The sequence below is a fragment of the Homo sapiens genome, chromosome 12 (genome assembly GCF_000001405.40).
Source record: "Homo sapiens chromosome 12, GRCh38.p14 Primary Assembly".
NCBI classification, from domain to species: domain Eukaryota; kingdom Metazoa; phylum Chordata; class Mammalia; order Primates; family Hominidae; genus Homo; species Homo sapiens.
The window spans coordinates 124,956,102-124,978,672 of NC_000012.12; the positions used below are offsets into that span (position 1 = coordinate 124,956,102).

At 54.5% G+C, this 22,571-nt stretch overlaps 1 protein-coding gene across 5 annotated transcripts in view; it reads right to left on the reverse strand.

The window, feature by feature from the left end:
* DHX37 (DEAH-box helicase 37) overlaps positions 1-22,571 on the reverse strand; it is a 42,306-nt gene that overhangs the window by 9,276 nt on the left and 10,459 nt on the right. For all 5 annotated transcript variants that reach the window (NM_032656.4, XM_005253590.4, XM_047429218.1 and 2 more), the window contains exons 5-18: positions 21,241-21,389; positions 19,318-19,410; positions 16,402-16,498; positions 15,201-15,314; positions 12,766-12,867; positions 12,433-12,547; positions 11,022-11,117; positions 10,692-10,777; positions 9,567-9,711; positions 8,829-8,905; positions 8,293-8,525; positions 4,211-4,322; positions 928-1,034; positions 590-778 (exon numbers count right to left, since the gene is read on the reverse strand). In NM_032656.4, coding sequence (NP_116045.2) covers positions 590-778; positions 928-1,034; positions 4,211-4,322; positions 8,293-8,525; positions 8,829-8,905; positions 9,567-9,711; positions 10,692-10,777; positions 11,022-11,117; positions 12,433-12,547; positions 12,766-12,867; positions 15,201-15,314; positions 16,402-16,498; positions 19,318-19,410; positions 21,241-21,389 — 1,715 coding nt within the window. The remainder of the gene's footprint in view (positions 1-589; positions 779-927; positions 1,035-4,210; positions 4,323-8,292; positions 8,526-8,828; positions 8,906-9,566; positions 9,712-10,691; positions 10,778-11,021; positions 11,118-12,432; positions 12,548-12,765; positions 12,868-15,200; positions 15,315-16,401; positions 16,499-19,317; positions 19,411-21,240; positions 21,390-22,571) is intronic.

The following is a 22,571-nucleotide window of genomic DNA, read 5'->3' on the forward strand; positions in this document are numbered from 1 at the left end:
GGCTCACAGAGTCGATGAAGTGACATTGTGGGCCTGCCTGTACCATTCACAGTGGACGAGAGATGGTGGCAGCAGAAGCCTGGCTCACAGCTGAGGGAGAGATGGTCAAAACTGATGGCGTGAAAGGCGGTTTCAGGAGGAATGATGTGAACGCTGAAGACTTACCAAGCCCTTGAGAAACTCAAGTTGCTTCCAGAAATCTCTGCAGAAATGACCCCTTTTATCATTAAGCTGCCAAAGGCAGATCTACGCAATAGGATGCCAGGAAATTATTAAATAATTGTTCATTCTAAGAATTAGCATGTAGTCATAATCTATAAGTAAATTTTGTTAAATACACAATGCACTAAACATACTTTCAACATACTTTCACAGTCTTAGTGTCACTTTTCTTTTTCTTTTTTTAGAGAAGGGTCTCACTCTGTTGCCCAGGCTAGAGTGCAGTTGCACAATCTCAGCTCACTGCAACCTCTACCTCCTGGGTTCAAATGATTCTTCTACCTCAGCCTCCTGAGTAGCTGGGACTCTCAGCCCAGAGCCCCCGTCGGAACTGAGCTTGGCCCTGAGTGCCCAGCCGCCAACCTCGCACCTGTCCAGCTCCTCAAACAGCTCCCGCACCGTCATGCTGGCCACGATGGTGATGGCATAGGGCAGGCAGCCGTGTTGTCGGCTCAGTGCCAGCATCTTAGCGTAGCGGGGTGCCACGGGGAATGTGGCCATTGTCCGGCCCAGCGCAGTGATGGGGCAGCTCAGCCGGTTCTCCTGCAGTTGCTTCACCCTGGAGATGGAGGTGGTGGTGGCAGTGCTCTGAGAGGAGCTCTGGAGCCACAGCTGGGAGGCCCCACGCTTGAGGCAGCTCAGGCCCAGCAAAAGGGAGAGAGGGCCCTGAACGGGGCAGGAACTGGGCTCTGCATCTCTTGGCCTTACCTTTCTGCTTTCTGGGGCGGTTGCAGGGCACCCAGTGCGATCAACAGCTCCTCGGCGGCAAGAAGGGCTTCCACGGAGGGGGGCGTCGGGAAGGGGAAGTTGATGACCTGGGACACAAGGAGACGTGGCAGGGACAGGGTGAATGCCAAGAACAAGTCCGGTGCTCCTGCTCCGTCTGTGGCAGGCACTCCCTCCAACCCCTCTCTCCGGGCTCAGCTCATGCCAGTGGGGACACAGGGGCCTGGGGCACTCTCAAAGGCCAGGTCCCAATGGAACCCCAAGGCCTCCTTTACTCACTCACCTCATCCATTCACTCAAAAACACGTCCCAAGCACTGGCTAGGCACTGAGGGCTGTGCTTTGCCCCCGCTGGGTGCTTTTTTCGGTTTTTAACAGACTATTATACTCATGAGGACTGAGCGTCATTTGACCAGGAGGGGCCACAGGTAGTCAGTGAGGCATAATACGAATAAATTGGCCTGGTGCGGTGGCTCACGCCTGTAATCCCAGCACTTTGGGAGGCTGAGGCGGGTAGATCACCTGAGGTCAGGAGTTCGAGACCAGCCTGACCAATATGGTGAAACCCCCATCTCTACTAAAAATACAAAAATTAGCCGGGTGTGGTGGCGCTCGCCTGTAGTCCCAGCTACTTGGGAGGCTGAGACAGGAGAATCATTTGAACCTGGGAGGTGGGGGTTTCAGTGAGCCGAGATCACACCACTGTACTCCAGCCTGGGTGACAGAGTGAGACCCCATCTCAAAATAGTAATAATAACGTGAATAAATTTATCACAATAGCCAAAAGATGGAAGCAACCTGTGCGTCTCTGAATGGAGGAGTGCATGAACAAAACGTGGGCCACCCATAAAATGGACAATGATTCAGCCGCGAATAGGAGTGAAGCAGCGACACGCGCTACACCACGGATGGAGCTTGAGAACATCATACTCAGGGAAAGACGCCGGGCACAAAGGCCACGCATTGTAGGATTCCATCTGCATGAAATGTCCCAAACTGGCAAATCCATGGAGAGGAGTGGGCACAGGGGCCAGGGAGCTGGGAGGTGGTGACAGATAAAGGGTACATGCTTCCTTTCTGGGGTGATGAAAATGGCCACGGTGGTGATGTCCGCACAACTTTGTGAACACACTGGAAACTACTGACCCACACACTTTCAATGGGTGACTGTGTGGTGCCTGAACTCTATCTCAATAAAGCTAGAGGCGGGGTGGTGAGCCTGCAGCAGGCACGCAGGTAAGGAGGCAATGCTAGGAACCCAGGTCTGGGGGAAGGCAGGAGGGGGCCTGCTCTGGAGCTGACTCAAGAGCCAGGGGAAGCCACTGCGGAGTTTCTACAGAGTGGACTTGATGTCACTTGTGGGAGGCACTCCCGACAGTGCTCCCAGCCACACTGAGCTCCCAGCCCAGCCCTGACACTTTTTATCCACGTGACCCACAGTCAGGCCTGTCTCAGTGTCTCAGGCTCCTCATCTGGAAAATGGGGTGATAACACTAGTAACTCCCTCCTAGAGTGGCTGGGAGGATAACCTGAGGTCACACGTGCTGAACGCCCAGCACATACTTGGCATCCATGATTCTTTTTTTTCTTTTTTTTTGTGAGATGGAGTCTTGCTATATCGCCCAGGCTAGAGTGCAACGGCGTGATCTCGGCTCACTGCAACCTCTGCCTCTTGGGTTCAAGAATTCTCCTGCCTCAGCCTCCCGAGTAGCTGGAACTACAGGTGCCCACCATCACGCCTGGCTAATTTTTATATTTTTAGTAGAGACGGAGTTTCACCATATTGGCCAGGCTGGTCTCGAGCTCCTGATGTTGTGATCCACCCGCCTCGGCCTCCCAAAGTGCTGTGAGCCAATGCACCCAGCTTTTTTTTTTTTTTTTTGGGACGGAGTCTTGCTCTGTCTCCCAGTCTGGAGTGCAACGGCATGATCTTGGCTCACTGCAACCTCTGCCTCCCAGGTTCCAGTGATTCTCCTGCCTCAGCCTCCCAAGTAGCTGGGATTATAGGCACCTGTCACCACACCTGGCTTTTTTTTTTTTTTTTTGGAGACGGAGTCTCGCCCTGTCACCCAGGCTGGAGTGCAATGGCACAATCTCGGCCCATTGCAACCTCCGCCTCCCGGGTTCAAGTGATTATCCTGCCTCAGCCTCCTGAGTAGCTGGGATTACAGGCGTGTGCCACCACACTCAGCTAATTTTTTGTATCTTTACTAGAGACGGGGTTTCACCTTGTTGGCCAAGCTGGTCTTGAACTCCTGACTTTGTGATCCACCTGCCTCGGCCTTCCAAAGTGCTGAGATTACAGGCGTGAGCCACCACGCCCAGCCTCCCTGGCTAATTTTTTTTTTTGTATTTTTAGTAGAGACGGGGTTTTGCCATGTTAGCCAGGCTGGTCTCAAATTCCTGACCTCAACTAATCCACATGTCTCAGCCTCCCAAAGTGCTAGGATTACAGGTGTGAGCCACCAGGCCCGGCCAGCACCCATGATTTTTATTAGGTGAAAAAATCAAGCCCCCAAAGCAGCGTGTAACATATCAGACAATATTCACAAAACCACAGGAATAAAGTACAGGATGTTATGTGTTTGGAAACGTAACTGGGACACAGGTCACAAATGGCGGACAGTGGGACGGGCTTCACCTTCTCCCTGATGATCTCAAGTATCTGAAGTTTTTATGATTTTGAACATATTAACATCCAGAAAAATCAGTGAGCACAGATGTTTAAAAGGCACTAGGAGACCATGTGGGTTCTGTCACTTACTAGATGTGTGTCCCTGGACAAAAACCTTCACTTCCCTGCCTCCGTTTCCTCATCAGTTAAATGGGGATCTGAACGCCCACAGGACAGCACGCAGCGTGGCACGGGGCACTGCCTGGCTTAGCCTGCCCTGGAGCAGGGGGAGGGAGGGTGACCCTAGAGGGATCCCCCCCTCCACTGGAGGACTGGGTCGGAGAAGGCTGCAGCCAGGAAGAGCCGGCAGCACGTTCTGCACGCCCCACGGACGGATAGTACATGAACAGCGTGCAGGACCCTGCTGCCTCTATTCCAGACAGCCATCCCCTGGGTGTCCACGGGCGATGCAGCACTGGGGAGGCAGCGGTCACAGGAGCCCAGAAGCCCTGGGAGCACCTGCTGATGCACTGTTGTGTAAGCAGCTGCCGCAGGCCAGGCACCAGCAGACCCAGCTCTGGGCTCCCTGCCTCAGGGAAAGGGAGGTGGTCCACTGGGGTGGCTGAGAGCGGGGCTGGGGGCAGCAACTGACCTTTTCAACGTTGAGCGCCTTCATTTGAAGGATTAAGTCTTCAACAGGCCTCCGGGTGATTTCTGGAGGAGGAAACTGCTCGAAGTCACCAAAAACCGCAGATGAATACAGCCTGGATGGAGAGAAACCGGGACAACAAACACAAAACTCACACCAAAAACCACAGATGAATACAGCCTGGGCAGACAGAAACCGGGACAACAAACAAAACTCAGTCATGCCACTGGGACTGGATCTTCACCTGACAGCAGGCACGGTGCTTTACCGCTTCCTGCCTCATTCTCCTCACCTGTGAAATGCAGCTCAAATTGCAGCTGCCTCGTAAGGAATTGGTGAAAATTAATTAGCTATTATTCCACTGGCTGGGTGTGGCGGCACACACCTGTAATCTCAGCACTTTGGAAGGCTGGGGTGGGTGGATCACTTGAGGTCAGGAGTTCAAGACCAGCCTGGCCAACATGGGGAAACCCCCATCTCTACTAAAAATACAAAAATTAGCCAGGCACGGTGACGTGCATCTGTAGTCCCAGCTACTCGGGAGGCTGAGGCAGGAGAATCACTTGAACCCAGGAGGCAAAGGTTGGGGTGAGCCAGATGGTGCCACTGTACTCCAGCCTGGGCGACAGAGCGAGACTCCGTCTCAAAACCAAAAGAAAAGGTATTATTCCATGTAGAGTACTTAAAACAGGGGATGGTGCATAGCACTCTACACTTTAACTACAGTTACTTCTTACTGGTTTTCTTTGTAAATTTTCTAAATTTTCTACTTTTTAACTAACATGTAGCCCTGACAAAAGGAACAGCAATAAAGCTATTTATTACATACACGCGTGCACGCACGCACACACACTTACATACACGCGCGCATGCGCGCACGCACACACACACATACACGTGTGCACGCACGCACACGCACGCACACACACATACACGCGTGCACGCACGCACACACATACACGCGTGCACGCACACACACTTACACGCGTGCACGCACGCACACACACTTACATACACACGTGCACGCACACACACACACAATTACAGCACACGGATTAGGAGAAAATATTTGTCAATGACACATTTGATTAGGATCTAATATCCAGATTATATTATATAAAGAACTTTTTTTGTTTTTGAGATGAAGTCTCGCTCTGTCGCCCAAGCTGGAGTGCAGGGGCATGATCTTGGCTCACTGCAACCTCTGCCTCCCAGGTTCAAGTGATTCTCCTGCCTCAGCCTCCCAAGTAGCTGGGATTACAAGTGCATGCCACCATGCCCAGCTAATTTTTGTATTTTTAGTAGAGACAGGGTTTCACTATGTTGGCCAGGCTGGTCTTGAACTCCTGACCTTGTGATCTGCCCGCCTCATCCTCCCAAAGTGCTGGGATTACAGGCGTGAGCCATGGCGCCTGGCCTAAAGAACTCTTACAGATCAATAATAAAAGGACAAATAACCTAATTAAAAAATGAGCAAAAGATCTGAATAGGCAGTTCCCTAGAAAGATGCATAAAGGGCCAATAAGTACATGAAAAGAGGCCTTCATTAGTCATTAGGGAAACATAAACCGAATCCACAATATGATACCACTTCACATCCACTAGGAGAGCTAGGCTCAAAAATACTGAAGCTTTCATATTAAAAAAAAAGTGGGGGTGGGTGAGGTAAGGGCACCTGTTCTCAGGACCAGGGCAGGGCTGTGTGTGACAGGAAATAGTCACACATTAAAACAAAACAAAAAAAACACCTGAAGCCAGGCACAGTGCCACGTGCCTCTACTCCCAGCTACTTGGGAGGCTGAGGCACGAAGACTGCTTGAGCCCAGGAGGCGGAGGCTGCAGTGAGCTATACTTGGGCCACTGAACTCCAGCCTGAGCAACAGAGTGAGACTTTGTCTCTCAAAAAAAACCCCAGCAAAACAAAAATATTAAAAATAAGTGTTGGTGCTGGCCAGGCGTGGTGGTTCATGCCTATAATCCCAGCACTTTGGGAGGCTGAGGCAGGTGTTCAAGACCAGCCTGGCCAACATGGTGAAACCCCGTCTCTACTAAAAATCTAAGAATTGGCCGGGCGCCGTGGCTAATGCCTGCAATCCCAGCACTTTGGGAGGCTGAGGCAGGTGGATCACCTGAGGTCAGGAGTTCAAGACCAGCCCGGTCAACATGGTGAACCCCCATCTCTACTAAAAATACAAAAATTAGCTGGGCGTGGTGGTGGGCACCTGTAATCTCAGCTACTTGGGAGGCTGAGGCAGGAGAATTGCTGGAATCCTGGAAGCGGAGGTTGCAGTGAGCTGAGATTGAACCATTGCATTCTAGCCCAGGCCGACAACAGTGAGACTCAGTCTCAAAAACAAAACAAACAAACAAACAAACAAATTATATGCACATGGTGGTGCATGCCTATCATTCCAGCTACTCGGGAGGCTGAGGCAGGAGAACTGCTTGAACCCAGGAGGCAGAGGTTGCAGTGAGCTGAGATTGCACCACTGCACTCCAGCCTGGGTGACATAGCGAGACTCCATCTCAAAAAAAAAAAAATTAAAAAGTGCTGGTGAGGACGTGAAGAAACTGAAACCCTCATTCACTGTTGGTAGGCATGTCAAATGGGGCAGCTGCTGTGGAAAACAGTTTGGTGGCTCCTCGGTAAGTTAAACCCAGAGTTACCATACGGCCCAGCGGTTCTCTTAGGTTCCACTGCAAGAGCAATGAAACCGGAGCCAGACAAATCCTTGCACCTGAGTGTTCAGAGCAGCACTATCCACAATAGCCAAGAGGTGAAAACAACCAAACGTCCACCAGCTGATGAACAGACAAACAAAACTCGGCACATCCATATGGTGTGATATCATTCAGCCACGGCCAGGAACGGGGTGCTGACACCTGCCACCCGGGGTGAGCCTTGAAAACTCACCGTGCTGAGCGGCAGAGGCCAGACACGAGGGGCCACACCTTGTATGACTTTATTGCATTTATCTGAATTGCCCACAACAGGCACATCCCTATAGACAAAAACTAGTGGACTGATGCTTGCCACAGGCTGGGGCGGGGAAGAAGGGGGGTGACTGCAGTGGTCACGGGGTTTCTTTTTGGGTTGATGGGAAGTTCTGACATTGATTGTGGTGATGGTTGCACAACTCTGTGACTGTCCTAAAAACTCCTGGATTGTATGCTTTAAAATTATGTACTTTATGGTATGTGAATTATATCCTGATCAAGCTGTTAACAAACAGCACTCAAGAGCTGCCCCTGACCTCAGTAGCAGAATAAAGAAACAGTGGCCGGGCACGGTGGCTCACGCCTGTGATCCCAACACTTTGGGAGGCCGAGGCGGGTGGATCACGAGGTCAGGAGATCGAGACCATCCTGGCTAACACGGTGAAAACCCATCTCTACTAAAAATACAAAAAAAAAAAAAAAAATTAGCCGGGCGTGGTGGCAGGTGCCTGTAGTCCCAGCTACTCGGGAGGCTGAGGCAAGAGAATGGCGTGAACCCGGGAGGTGGAGCTTCCAGTGAGCCAAGATCACGCCACGGCACTCCAGCCTGGGCGACAGAGTGAGACTCGTCTCAAAAAAAAAAAAAAAAAAAAAAAAAAGAAACAGTGCGAGTAGGCCAGGCATGGTGGCTCACCTGAACTCAGGAGTTCGAGACCAGTCTGGCCAACATGCTGAAACCCCGTCTCTACTAAAAATACAAAAATTAAAATAAATAAATACATATAATAAAAATACACAAATTAGCTGGGCGTGGTGGCGCACACCAGTAATCCCAGCTATTTGGGAGGCTAAGGCAGGAGAATTGCTTCAACGTAGGAGGTGGAGGTTGCAGTGAGTCGAGATCACGCCATTGCATTCCAGCCTGGGTGACAAGAGTGAAACTCCATCTCAAAAAAAAAAAAAAAAAAAAAATAGTGTGAGTATCTGAAAGCCAGCAAAAGGGCTGGGGAGCACCCCAAAGTCACAGGGGCCCGGCAGGACACGGAACATACTACAGATGGAGGTGGGGGTCAGCATCCTTCCCTTGTTCCTCAGTGGCTATTGCAAGGCGGCACCAACGTCCCTGAGGAGGAGCCTGGGTGACCCACCTGTAGCAGTGGCCGGGCTCCGTCCGTCCTGCTCTGCCCGCTCGCTGGTCAGCTGATGCCTGGGAGACCCAGGTGACACGGAAGGAGGATACGCCAGTGACGCGGTCGTAGTAGCGTTTCTTGACCTTCCCACAGTCCACCACGTACTTGATGCCAGGGATGGTAAGCGACGTCTCGGCCACATTGGTGGCCACAACACACAACCGAGTCCCCTCCGGTGGAGGCTTAAAGACCTAGGATTCGGGGAAGGGATGGCAGGAAAACACCAGAATCAGAAAAGAAATCGTGGAATGGAGGCTCAAGGACAAAGCCAGCCAGGCTGGTGTGCTGGAGACGTAGCAAGGACAAGCCATCCCATCTGGGGCCCAGTGCCTTGGGGGAGGGTTCCCTATTCTCCAAAACTACCCCAATATTCCTCAAAACTCTGGGGATGCTGATCAAACAGCAGATGGAGAGGACCACCAAGGGCTTGACCAACCCCACTGTAATGCCCTTAAAAGTGCCCCAAAAGCTGGGCACCGGCCCAGCACGGTTACCTGTGCTTGCTTCTCTGGGGCCAGCAGAGAGTACAGCGGGAGCACGTGGAGCGGGAGGGAGGCATCCGGCTGCTCACCTGGAGGGAAAGCAGAGGTCACTGGCACCCAGGCCGGGACAGATGCCCACAGGCAGGAGCTGGCCACAGCGGCCCTGCACCCCCAGGCTGCTCCACCAGAGCTCCTTTCTTTGCCCTGCTGCAGAGGCTCCCCTTGGGACCAGCCAGGCCAAGCCTGGGGGAACTGCTGAGAGGTTCCCAGGGGCTCTCTTGTCTCTGCTGCCCTGAACCGGATCTGAACCCCTGTGCTGCACAATCTCCTCCTCCAAACCCCTGGCATGGATCCCGGGAGCCTGACTCCACTCCTCGTGTCCTGGCAGCATTGTGGTGGGGTCAGGCTGAGCCCGTACTGGGGTACTCTCTGCTGCCCCACTCAGCCCCTGGCTGGGCACAGCAGGGCACTGGGTCTGCCTGCATTCAGGGGGCCCCTGCGAGCACACGGAGCTGGGCAACACCCCCAGGCTCTGAAGGCCTGCGTCCCTCAGCAAGGGGTTGGCAGCCCCCATTACATTCAACATGGCAAATGTTTGAGGCCTCCTCGTGCCAGGCAGTTTCAAGAACTCAGGAAGCATCGGGGACAAAGCTGCTAGAACCCCGGCCCCCGGGGGGCCCACAAGGGCTCTGGGCACATCCTCAGGGCAGAGATAATGAACATGAGCAGGAATCGGTGCTCGGGCCACACCTCCATCTTGCCCGCCATCCCCCAGGTCCAGATCGAGGTCGGAGTCCAGGGCCCCCTCTTCCTCATCCACTTCTGCCTCCCTGTCCTCATCGCCTTCGCCTGCCGGTAACACCGAGTAATGATCCAAGTTGATCTGGGGCAGCACCTACGGCGAACAAGACATAGACACCTGGGCTGCAGGGATCCTGGGTGTGAGGACGTGGCACGTGCAGGAAGACAGGTGCCCTCGCATGGAAGCCCCGGTCCACACCCATGGGCCATGCAACCCGGGGCAGGCCACATAATTCTCTCTTCCTGCCAGAATTTCCCCACCTAAACATTGGGGACTATCATAGACCTTGTCTCCCAGGCTGGTGGGAGGGTTGTGTGAACACACGTGAGGAACCTGGATCGCTGCCTGACACATCGGTAGTGCAACAGGCAAGTCAGAGACGGCTGAGTGCTTACGCTACCGTCACGGAGCACAAGACCCACGGTGCCTTCACGCAGAGGCTAGAGGAAAGCCCCTGCCAGCCCAGCCATCCCAGAGTAGCTGGGAGTACAGGTGCACACCACCATGCCTGGCTAATTTTGTATTTTTAGTAGAGACAGGGTTTCGCCATGTTGGTCAGGTTGGACTTGAACTCCTGACCTCAGGTGATCCACCTGCCTCAGTCTCCCAAAGTGCTGGGATTACAGGCGTAGCCACCACGCCTGGCCTTCTTTTCCATTTCTGAGACAGAGTCTCACTCTGTTGCCCAGGCTAGAGTGCAGTGGGACCATCACAGCTCATTGCAGCCTTGACCTCCTGGGCTCAGATGGTTCTCCCACCTCAGCCTCTGAGCAGCTGGGACCACAGGCATGCGCCACTGCACTGGATTAATCTAAAAAATTTTTTGTAGAGACATGGTCTCACCATGTTGCCCAAGCTGGTCTCAAACTCTAGGCCTCAAGCGATCCTCCCACCTTGGCCTCCCAAAGTGCTGGAATTACAGGCATGAGCCACTGTGCCTGACCAGGAACTGGATTTTTAACTTCATTTTATTCCAATTACACTTAAACCTAAGCAGCCACATGGGGCTGGTAGCTGCCATCCTGGACAACGCAGCCTTACTCTCCAGGAGTCCCTGCCAGCCCCCCACGTACCTCAGCCCGCGCCTTCTTGGCCCTGGCCCTTGACTTCTTAAACTTCCGCATTTCCTCCACCGAGTCTTTCTGATCGTCGTCCTTTTCTGGGAGAGGGGCAGGTTGGGGAGAAAGGCGTCTGTGGCCGGCGTGGTCGCCAGCACACTGCCCTTTGTTGTTCAAGGCATGGCCACTCAGTGGTGGCCATTTATTCGGGGGTGAGGTGGGGGATGGCAAAGGTGCTGATGCTTCCAGAGAGAAGCTCAGAGGCAGGAGCTGCACCCCAGCCAGGGAGCGCGAGGCCAAGCCCAGCTGCTCAGGGCAGAGTGCTGGTCGGGGCGTCCTCTTTACCTTGTGGCCGGGCTCTGGAGGGTGGGAAAGCCTTCCTGAGCCTGCGGCACAGCGCATGCACCTCAGCCTGCCCCGTCAGGAACACCAGGATGCCACCTGTGGAAAGAATGGGCCCCTCTGTTATCCATCAGTCACTCACAAACATTTGCTTAGCAAAAGCACCTGCCAAGCCATGCTCTGAGAGGCAAGGTTCCAGGGATAATGGGGGAGGACAGGAGTACACAGACATAGATGAGCAGGGGGCAGCACGCCCAGACTGAAGCAGCTGCCGCCAGGGAGTTCAACAAACACGGCGACTGCACAGCCCAGCAGCATCACTCCCAGGAACAGACCCAAAAGCCCTGAGAAGCGTGCTCACACGGAACCCTGCACACCACACTCACGACAGTGACAGCGCCGCGGCTGCCCTGAGACCTGAGGCTGCAGGAAGGCTCACTGCCCAAGCTCCAGCCTCACCTCCTGCCAGCCCCAGTCTCCCAGAGAATGGATGGGAGCCCCGAAAGGCCATAAGCAGAGCAAGGACAGAGCATCACGAAGCAGCAACCTCGGCTTCCTTGAAGGACGAGGTCAAGCTTGTTGGGAAGCACCCCCATGGCTCCTTGCCTCCCTAACATGAAGAAAGCCAGCCTTGGGCCCAAATTCGGCACACAAGAGTCTCTGGCTAGGCTGGGTGCAGTGGCTCACACTTGTAATTCCAGCACTTTGGGAGGCTGAGGCAGGCAGCTCACCTGAGGTCAGGAGTTCGAGACCAGCCCGGCCAACATGATGAAACCCCATCTCTACTAAAATACAAAAAATTAGCCAGGCGTGGCAGTGTGCGACCAGTGTGGGACCTGTAATCCCAGCTACTTGGGAGGCTGAGGCAGGAGAATCACTTGAACCCGGGAGGTGGAGGTTGCAGTGAGCCAAGATCTGCCACTGCACTCCAGCCTGGGCAACAAGAGTAAAACTCCGTCTCAAAAAAAAAAAGTCTGGCTGGAAGCGATCACAATCTATTCACACAGAAAGGTCACATCCATTTCAGTAACATGAGGTGGGTAACGGAGCAGGTATGATGGGGACAAGGCAGAACTGTGAAGGGTATCCGTGACTCTTGGGGGGATGTGCCCGTTCCCCTACAGTGTCTATGGTCACCTGCCAGCACTGGCCTGGGCCCTGTGGGTTTTTCTGCTTATCAGATGGGGACAGATGGCAAGCTCCACCATCTGGTAGCTGCTGAAGCCTCATAGTATTTGGAGTGGAATAAGGCCAGACAGGTGTCATGAACACTCTGGAATAAGTGAGGAAGCCGAGGCCTGGCAGGGTCAAGGGACTTTTCTGAGCCACTCGGAGATGGGCCCTCCCACACTCGTGCTTTCAGCGAGGGTTTAGGAAGGGAGGCTTCTTTCCCCTGACCTGGCCAGGGCCTCACCTGCGGGCAGCATCCGGTGGATCTTGCAGACCTTCCGGAAGCACTCGCCACTGTAGTCTTCCAGCGGTGTCCGCTTGTTGAAATGCACAGTCACTGGGAACTGCCTGGATTCCACCTGTGGGACGCCCAGGAAGGCATGGGGAGTGGGGGGGACACGAGCTTCGGCCCAGGGCTGCCTTCCCTTTCCCCATTATTCCGAATCAAGGTTTCTAACACCCCCTCCAAGCTGCTGTCAATCCCCCCTGTGACCAAGTGAGGTCTCTCAGGGGGCTCCCGACACCAGGGCGTCCTTGTGCCATCCAAGCTCACAGAGGACATGGGACCCTGTGTTACCTTGATGACCGGCGGCGGCTTGGCGAAGAGCCGTGGGTTCTGGGTGAAGTCCTCCACCCGCAGCGTGGCCGACATGATGAGCAGCTTGAGTGGCAGGTTCCTCTGCAAAAGGACAGGCTCAGTGACCGTGGCCCCAGGACCGCAGGTGGGTCTGAAGCCTGGGAAATCGGCATGGGGGTGCCCTGCTGCCCACCCCGTTTCCAGCCCCCACCCTCTGCCCCTTTCTGGATGCCAAAGGCTCCTTGGAGAAAGTGAGTCAATAGTGGGACCTGCCGCTCCCAGGGCGGTGGCTTGTTCCAGGGGGTCTTTCAGAGTCAGGCTTTGATGGTAGAATATGAGGCAGGTGGGCTGAGACTGGGGCCCACCCAACCCAGCTCCCACCTGACACCAAGATTGACTGAGTGTCTGTGCCGGGGGCTCAGGGAAGAGCTGCCTGATTCTCTGGGGTCTGTGGGGGGTGGGAGAGAGCTCCCGGGAGCTCCCTGGTCCCCAGGCCGCTCAGCAATGCCTAATGGCCTCATGGTGAGCTCTGCTTCAAGCTCTTGCTGCCTTTGCTGCTACGAAACCCCAAACCCAGAAGCTAAGGAGTGGCCAAAGCACCTCTGTGGGAGGCAGGACACCCAGCACAGGCCCCTCTCTTGCCCCACAGTGACCGTCCCTGTCTGCCTCACCCCCGTGCCTTCCGGACCCCACCTCACCCTCTCTGCTTGGCCACTCTAGACTTCCTGATGGCCCCCAAAGACATAAACCAAGGCCACAGTGAGGTGTCACTGTCCACCCACAGGGATGTCTAGAATAACAGAAATGGAAAACGACAAGTGCTGGCAGGATGTGGAGAAACTGGAAGCTCTGACACTGCTGGTGCGGAAGTACCATGGAATTCTGCAGCCGCTGGGGGAAATCATTTGCAAATGGTTACACACAGAGTGACCATGGTCCAGCTTCTTGGGAGGCTGAGGCAAAAGGATTCCTTAAGCCCAGAAGGTCGGGGTTGCAGTGAGCTGTGATTGCACCGCTGCACTCCAGCCTCAGTGACAATGAGACCCTGCCTCGAAAAAAAAAAACAAAAACCACCACCACAAAAAACCATAAAAGGCACAGCGTTTCTTTTTGTTTTTGTTTTTCAGATGAAGTCTCGCTTTCTCACCCAGGCTGGAGTGCAGTGGCGCGATCGCGGCTCACTGCAAGCTCCACCCGCTGGGTTCAAGTGATTCTCCTGCCTCAGCCTCCCGAGTAGTTGAGATTACAGGTGTGCGCCACCAGGCCTGGCTAATTTTTCGTTTTTTTAGTAGAGACAGGGTTTCACCATGTTGGCCAGGCTGGTCTTGAACTCCTGACCTCAAGTGATCCACCCGCCTCAGCATCCCACAGTGCTGGGATTACAGGCGTGAGCCACCGTGCCCGGCCTAGGGTTTCTTGTTGGATTGATGAGTGACAAAATATAAAACTGTGGTGATGGCTGCACACTCTGTGAACGGACTAAAAACCACTGAATTGTACATTTGAACAGATGAATGATATGAAATGTGAATCACAGCCCAATAAAGCTTGTTACCAAAAGAAAAAAGGCACCAGGCAGACGCCCGCCTCAGGACCTTTGCATTGCTCTCCTCCAGTCAGACTTCTCCTCGCTCTGCAATGCACGCCGCTCACTCCCTCCCTCATTCAGCCTTCCACTTGAGCTCAGAGGTCACTTTTCGGGTGAAGCCCTCACTAGCCCTGTGTCCTCCCTCCACTGCCCCCGGCTTTGTCTGTCACTGGCTCACATACTCTGAGTCTGCGTCCTGCCTGCCACCCTTGCTGAAGTGGAGGCCCCAGGAGGGCAGGAACTGTTAGAACAAGACAGCGTCTTGTTCACTGTTGATTTTCAGGGCCTTGAATGTGGCCAGGCTCATGGCACATGTGGAGCGCAGGCCCCTCTCCCCGCCGGGAGGGTGAGACAGGCCTACTGCATGAAGCCGCGCCCCAGGGTGGCACCCACCAACTCAGCAGGCCCCTGTGTCAGGCTGGGGCAGGGAGATGGAGAAAGAGGCCCTGGGGAGCCCCTCTCAGAGCTCCGGGAGCCTGGCCCTTGGCTGGGCAGGCCCACCTGCTCTGCTGATCCCAGAGGCCCAGAGGCCTCATCAACCAGCCCCATTGCGCCTGGCAAGGCATCAACACTTCTCCTGAGCCTCTTGCTTTGGATGGGGAGAAGGACACCAGTTTATGAGGCTGGCACCGGGGCGGTGGGGAGGGGATCACACAGGGGCTGTTCCAAGATTCACAGCCCTGGCACTAGGCCTAGACCTAGGCCCAGGGAGACCTTGTGCTCGGGGTACCTGCTCATGGCAGCAGCCCAGGGTACAACGGGGAACAGGTGAAGGAAGCCCAAGCCTCTGACAGAGCTGGGGGGGGCCTAGGGCTCGGGGCTCCCCAGCACCCGCCTCCTGCGCTACCTTAGCCCGGAGAGTCACAATGCGGGACAGGAGGCCGATGAGGATGTCCGTGTACACGCTCCTCTCGTGGGCCTCGTCGATGATCACCACCTTGTACCGCAGCAGCAGGAAGTCCTGGGGGGAGGTCCGGGGTGAGGCCCACCCTTCCAGCCTAAGCCCCAAGGGCCGCTTCACGTCCCAGAACTCCCACTTGAGGAGACAGTGTTAGAGGAAGGGCAGCTGCTCTTCATCAGAGGTGAGCTGCTCAACTCAGATGCCCGCAGAGTGGGAGGGCAGGTGGGAAATGGACATGAGATGTGGGGTGGGGCCGTGGGCAGTTGGACAGCAGGTGCCACACAGACAGGGGCCACCCAGACCCAAACTGCATCCACTGCCACCCCCAGGAGTCCCAGTGGCTTCAAAGCCAGGAGGGCTGGAATCACCTTTGCCATCCCCCTGGGAGATTGGCCCTGCCCAAGGGGACGTCACAGCCAGCACGGAGCACAGCTTCTTCACCAGACAGCAGTCCCCCACCCGGGCCCTGCATGCTCTCTGGACACGCGTGCCACCCACTTGACCGAATGGCCGGCTCCCTAGGAAGCATGGGGTGCTTCCCCAAGGCCCAAGTGGGCTGACTAGGGAGGCAGCAGCTGGGGTTCCGATTTACAAATGGAAAGTCCTTGGGACGCAGCTTCTGAGGCCAGGGACCGTGAAGACGCTCAAGGGCAAGCCCCAGCGGCCCCTCCCCTTTCCCTCAGCCTGAGGCTGGTACCCCACTCCGAGTCTGGTGCTGCCCCTCACCAAACGCAACTGGACTCGAAGCTCCCAAGAGGGGGCTGTGTCTGGACCCGCCGCAGGGCAGAGCCTGCACACCACAGGCTTTCAGTACACCCCCGGCAAGGCGTGAACTCTGTGAGTCAGTCACAATAAAAATACAAGTTCACATTTCACGAGCACCTTCTAGGTACGGGCCACTGTGCTAAGCTGTCAGCATGCACTCTACAACTTCCGCTTCAAAATGATTCTCTAAGGAATGCACCAACATACTCATCAAGAAACTGAGCTTGGAGAGGTTAAGTAACTCACCCAAAGTCACACAGCAGCACCGTGGGAGTGCTGGATCAACAGGTGGCTTGCCGGCTGCTCATATCCCAGGTGACATCCTAGCATCCCGCCCCCATGCCCACTGGCCTTGCTCTGTGAGCCAGGATCCACAACCAACCTTCTGGATTTCTTTAAGCAGCACACCATCCGTCATGAACTTGATTCTGGTCTCCTCTGTCACGTTTCCTTCATACCGGATCTGGTAGGAGACGACCCTGTATGGGCAGAGTTCGGGTTAGGGCAGAGCCGTGCCTGGCTGGGGCTGTCGCCACGGGGCCACTACAAGGCAGGCCGTGGAGCAGGCAGGCGGCTTGAGGGCAGGGCCCGCTGGCAACCTGAAACAAGTCCCAGACATCTCCCCAGTCCACTCTCCCCCTCCAAAATCCTGGTTTCTGAAGGGAAGGGAAGGAGCTGTTAAGGGCAACTGAGGAGCCAGGCCCTGAACACCTCGGCCAGAGCCCTCCTCGGATGGTGACTATGCCAGGAGACACCGGGGAGACCTGCACATGGGCTGGAGTGTGTTCCAGAGACTTCACAGACTTGGCAACTATCATCGGGGTACTGCAGCTGTATGTGTTTCACAAAAAGTCCTTATCTTAATTCAAAAATTAATCTGGTGTGGTGGTGTGCACCTGTAGTCCCAGCTACTCAGGAGGCTGAGGTGGGAGAATTACTTGTGCCCAAGAGGTTGAGGCTGCACTGAGCAAAGATGGCACCACTGCACTCCAGCCTGGGCAATAGAGCCATCTCAAAAAACAAAAAATGGCTCACGCCTGTAATCCCAACACTTTGGGAGGCCGAGGTGGGTGGATCACCTGAGGTGAGGAGTTCAAGACCAGCCTGGCCAACATGGTGAAACCCCATCTCTACTAAATACAAAAATTAGCCGGGCACCTGCAATTCCAGCTATTCGGGAGGCTGAGGCAGGAGAATCGTTTGAACCCAGGAGGCAAAGGTTGCAGTGAGCCAAGATCGCACCACTGAACTCCAGCCTGGGTGACAAAGTGAAACTCCGTCTCAAAAAAGAAAAAAAAAAAATTAGTTCTTATCTCTCAGATCTGTACAGCAAAATATTGAGGATAAAATAAGATACCTAAGATTTGCTTCTAAACAGTGGGGGGGAGGGGGGCCAGGAGGAGAGTACAGATCCAACAGGCTAGGGCAAGAGTTGACAATTATTACAACTGGGTCTTGGGTACCTGGGGGCTCATTATACTATCCTTTCTACTTATGTATATGCGCCCCCCCCAACGCTTTTTTTTTTTTTTTTTTTTGAGATGGAGTCTCACTCTTGTTGCCCAGGCTGAAGTGCAATGGCGTGATCTCGGCTCATGGCAACCTCCGCCTCTCGGGTTCAAGGGATTCTTCTGCCTCAGCCTCCTGAATAGCTGGATTACAGGCATGTGCCACCACACCCAGCTAATTTTTTTGTATTTTTAGTAGAGATGGGTTTTCTTCATGTTTGTCAGGCTAGTCACAAACTCCCAACCTCTGGTGATCCACCTGCCTCGGCCTCCCAAAGTCCTGGGATTACAGGCGTGAGCCGCCGTGCCCAGTCCCCAAATTTTTTTTTTTTTTTCTGAGACGGAGTCTCGCTCTTTCGCCCAGGCCAGACTGCAGTGGTGCTATCTCAATCTCGGCTCACTGCAAGCTCTGCCTCCTGGGTTCACGCCATTCTCCTGCCTCAGCCTCCCGAGTAGCTGGCATTACAGGCACCCGCCACTGCGCACGGCTAATTTTTTGTATTTTTTTCAAGAGATGGGGTTTCACCGTGTTAGCCAGGATGGTCTCGATCTCCTGACCTCATGATCCACCTGCCTCGGCCTCCCAAAGTGCTGGGATTACAGGCGTGAGCCACCGCACCCGGCCACCCAGTCCCCAAATTTTTATAATATTTAACAAGTTAAAAAGAGAATGAGGCAGCTTTTCCTAGACGCATGCCAACTATGCACAGAATTGTCCAGGAGGACGTGCAGGAGATGGTCAGTGGTGGCTGCTCCTGGAGAGGAGGCAGGGCATTGGGTGAGAAGGGGCCCCCAGTACTCCATCCCTGCCTTAGCGTCCTCCGAGCCTAACGTACAAAGACAACAAGTCCCCCAACTGGCATGCTGACCCGGGGGCCGGTGGCTCTGTCTGGTCCACCACCACGTCCTGAGAGCCCAGGATGGGCCTGGCACACTAGATGCTGCCTAGTAACATCTGCTGAGTGGGCAGATGAGGCAGGCTCTCACTCTGTGCTCTTTTGTGCCTTCTGGATTTTAGACCATGCTGGACATGTTAGACACAGGCCTCTGCATTATAAACATATGCTCCCAGCCATTGTAAAGCAAGTGCTATATCTGCCTGTTCAAGGCTGCTTTCCAAAGCAAGTCCTACAGACTTACCGCCTGAAGATTTTTTTTTTTTTTTGAGACAGAGTTTCACTCTTGTTGCCCATGCTGGAGTGCAATGGTGCGATCTTGGCTTACGGCAACCTCTGCCTCCCGGGTTCAAGTGATTCTCCTGCCTTAACCTCCCGAGTAGCTGGGATTACAGGCATGTGCCACCACACCTGGCTCATCTTGTATTTTTAGTAGAGACAGGGTTTCTCCATGTTGGTCAGGTTGGTCTCGAATTCCAGACCTCAGGTGATCTGCCCGCCTTGGCCTCCCAAAGCGCTGGAATTACAGGCGTGAGCCACCACACCCGGCCAAGATTTTGTACTTTAGAACCTTGAGTTTTAGATTAACCCGGCAATGCTAGGTACTAGCTCCGTGACTGCCTGCATCTGGCCCCCTGCTCTGTTCTCGAGCCCCTGGATGGGCCACTCTGTCCCCTCGGCACACTGTGCAGGACGTAAGCTTGCTTGGAGGCCCCCTGCTTGGGCAGGTCCTGGAAAGTTCTCTCACACAATGATTCCCAGTGCTACATGCAGAGGTGACACTCCACCCAGCACCCTCGGCACAGATGCTGCTCACCTCCTCCTGGGCTTCCCACATCTGGGCAAGGCCACAGGACCACCCCATAGTCCGCCCCAGGGAAGTAGAGCCCTCACCGCTGGGACAGATTCATCTCCTTGGCCACTCGCTGGGACATGGCCACGGCGGCCACTCGGCGGGGCTCCGTGACACCGATGATGCTGTCTTCACTGGGGGAGGAAGAACATGGCCATCAACAGTGCGCGGCCCCACCTGTTCATGCCAAAGCCTCATGCAGTTCCACAGCAAGATTTGCCATACTGACCTGGCGCTCACCCAGGGGCGGTGGGAAACAGTGCCAGGTTGCACTACTTTTAACAGCAAACGGAACAGCCCAAAGGCCAACACATAGAAAACGGTTCGACATTCACCATGCAGCGGACACCAGGCAGCCGCTAGAAGGAACGGGGCCTGGGGGAACCAGGCTGGGAGCTCTGTTTGCCCCAGTCAAGCACAAGCTCCTCCAGACACAGGAACCCGCCAAGCCGATGGGTGGCTGGTCCCAGCTCTGTGGGAACATTAACACCACAGACCTGCAGCTGCTCTCCCTCGAAAGGCTGCTGACGGGGCTGGCCCTCGCTGGGTGCCTGAACCTGTACAACAGGAGAGCTCCTTCCATTCCCTGTAAGTGCGGGGCCCACTGTGCCCAGCCTGTTTGTGCAAACAGGGTGGTTTATGCCGGACACCTGCTTTCCTTTTAGGCGTCTAGGATTTCGTTCCTGCCAGGCAGGGTGGGCTTAGGCGACCCCAGTAACAGCCGTGGACCCTGAATCTCTAACTAGCTTCCCTGGTGGAGGATAGTTCCTGTGTGGCCACAGGTGGCTACTGGAGAATCCAGTGCGTCCTGTGTGAGTCCACCGGGAGGGGACTCTGGAAGCTGGAGCTGGGTTTCCCCAGAACACCCCAGGTACCACTGCCCTCTGCTGATCGCGTCCTTCGCTGTAATATACCATAGCCATGTGCAGGATAACATGCTGAGTCCTGGGAGTCCCCGGTCAATCACCGAACCTGAGCATGGTCTTGGGGACCCCAACACACATGGGTCAAAAGTGCCAATAGCAGGCTACACAGTGAAAATGGTAAGCGCAGGCTGGGCGGGGTGGCTCACGCCTGTAATCCCAGCACTTTGGGAGGTCGAGGTGGGTGGATCACATGAGGTCAGGAGTTCAAGACCAGCCTGACCAACACGGTGAAACTCTGTCTCTTGGCCGGGTGCAGTGGCTCATGCCTGTAATCCCAGCACTTTGGGAGGCCGAGGCAGGCGGATCACGAGGTCAGGAGATCGAGACCATCCCGGCTAACATGGTGAAACCCCGTCTCTACTAAAAATACAAAAAAATTAGCTGGGCGTGGTGGTGGGCGCCTGTAGTCCCAGCTACTTGGGAGGCTGAGGCAGGAGAATGGCGTGAACCCGGGAGGCGCAGCTTGCAGTGAGCCGAGATCGCGCCACTACACTCCAGCCTGGGCAACAGAGTGAGGCTCCGTCTCAAAAATAATAATAATAAAAAGAAAAAAGAAAAAAAAAAGAAACCCTGTCTCTACTAAAAATACAAAAATTAGCTGGGTGTGGTGGCGGGCGCCTGTAATCCCAGCTGTTGAGGAGGCTGAGGCAGGAGAATCACTTGAACCCGGGAGGCGGAGTTGCAGTGAGCCAATATCACACCACTGTACTCCAGCCGGGGTGACACAGCGAGACGCTGTCTCAAAAAAAAAAAAAAAAGGAAAAAAGAAAATAGTAAGCACATAGCTCTACGTGCCAGGAATTAAGTGTGCTACGCAAGTTCACTCACTTAATCCACACGACAACCTTGTGAAGTAGGCGCTATTATTCCCATCTCACAGCTGGGGCCCAGAGAGGTTAAGTAGCTTGTCTGAAGTCACACAGCATGCACAGGGCAGATCCAGGATTGGATCCTGGGGAGCCCAGGCTCTTATCGACCTTTCAGGGCATCTCCAGTGTCACTGAGGGACCCAGAGAGAACCCTGTGTCCAGCCCCTACCTGCTGAAGCCTGCTTCATAGAGAAACTGAGGCACCTGTGTGGTCTTCCCGCTGCCGGTCTCACCACACACGATGACGATGGGGTGCTCGGCCACAGCCTCCATGATTACTTGTTCTTCGGAGAGAATTGGGAGCTTCAGCCGTTCCTCCTGGAAGGAGAGGAAGTCAGCACTTAGGGAGCAGCAAGACTATAGACAGTGATGGGACCTCCAGGAAGGTGGCAGCTGACACATGGGTGCTGAACAGATGTGCCTGCTGGGGAACAGAGGCCCTGACAGCTGGGGAGGGGACCAGGAGCCATGGTCCAGGAGAGACAGAGACAGGGATCACATCCTTCAGGACACCAGGACTGACATCCCCAGGCACAGCTTGGTTGGGGCAGAGCAGTCTCTCAGAGATACGGGAACCCTCGGCTGTTGCTGGCAGGAGTCTCAATTAACGGCCCAGCCACTTCGATAAATAATCTGGTGCAAATTTTCTCAAAGTTAAGATGTGTGGCCCTGCAGTTCCTCTCCTAGGTACATATTCCAGAGCAGGGGCTTTCTACATTTTTTCCTGTGACTCATGGAAAGAAACACATTTTATATCATGACTCAGTACACACACAGGCACATATATGTATCGTATATGGAAGGAACAGTTCTGTGAAACATGGCTCACCCTAAGGTGTATGCAATGGCGCGATCTCGGCTCACTGCAACCTCTGCCTCCCGGGTTCAAGCGATTCTCCCGCCTCAGCCTCCTGAGTAGCTGGGATTACAGGCACATGCCACCACGCCCAGCTAATTTTTGTATTTTTAGTGGAAATGTGGTTTCACCAGGTTGGCCAGGCTGGTCTTGAACTCCTGACCTCAGGTGATCTGCCCACCTCGGCCTCCCAAAGTGCTGGGATTACAGGCATGAGCCACCATGCCTGGCCAACAAGCTCATATTCTTAATTTTTGTTCTATTTCTATTCTATTCTATTCCACTTGTTGTATTTATTTACTTTTTGAGACAGAGTTTCACTCTTGTTGTCCAGGCTGGAGTGCAATAGTGTGATCTTGGCTCACTGCAACCTCCACCTCCTGGGTTCAAGTGATTCTCCTGCCTCAGCCTCCTGAGTAGCTGGGATTACAGGCACCCACCACCATGCCTGGCTAATTTTTGTATTTTCAGTAGAGACGGGGTTTCACCACGTTGGCCAGGCTGGTGTCAAACTCCTGACCTCAGGTGATCCACCCGCCTCGGCCTCCCAAAGTGTTGGGATTACAGGCGTGAGCCATCGTGCCTGGCCTCCATTTGTTTTTTTTAAAAATATGAGGCCAGGCATGATGGCTCACGCCTGTAAT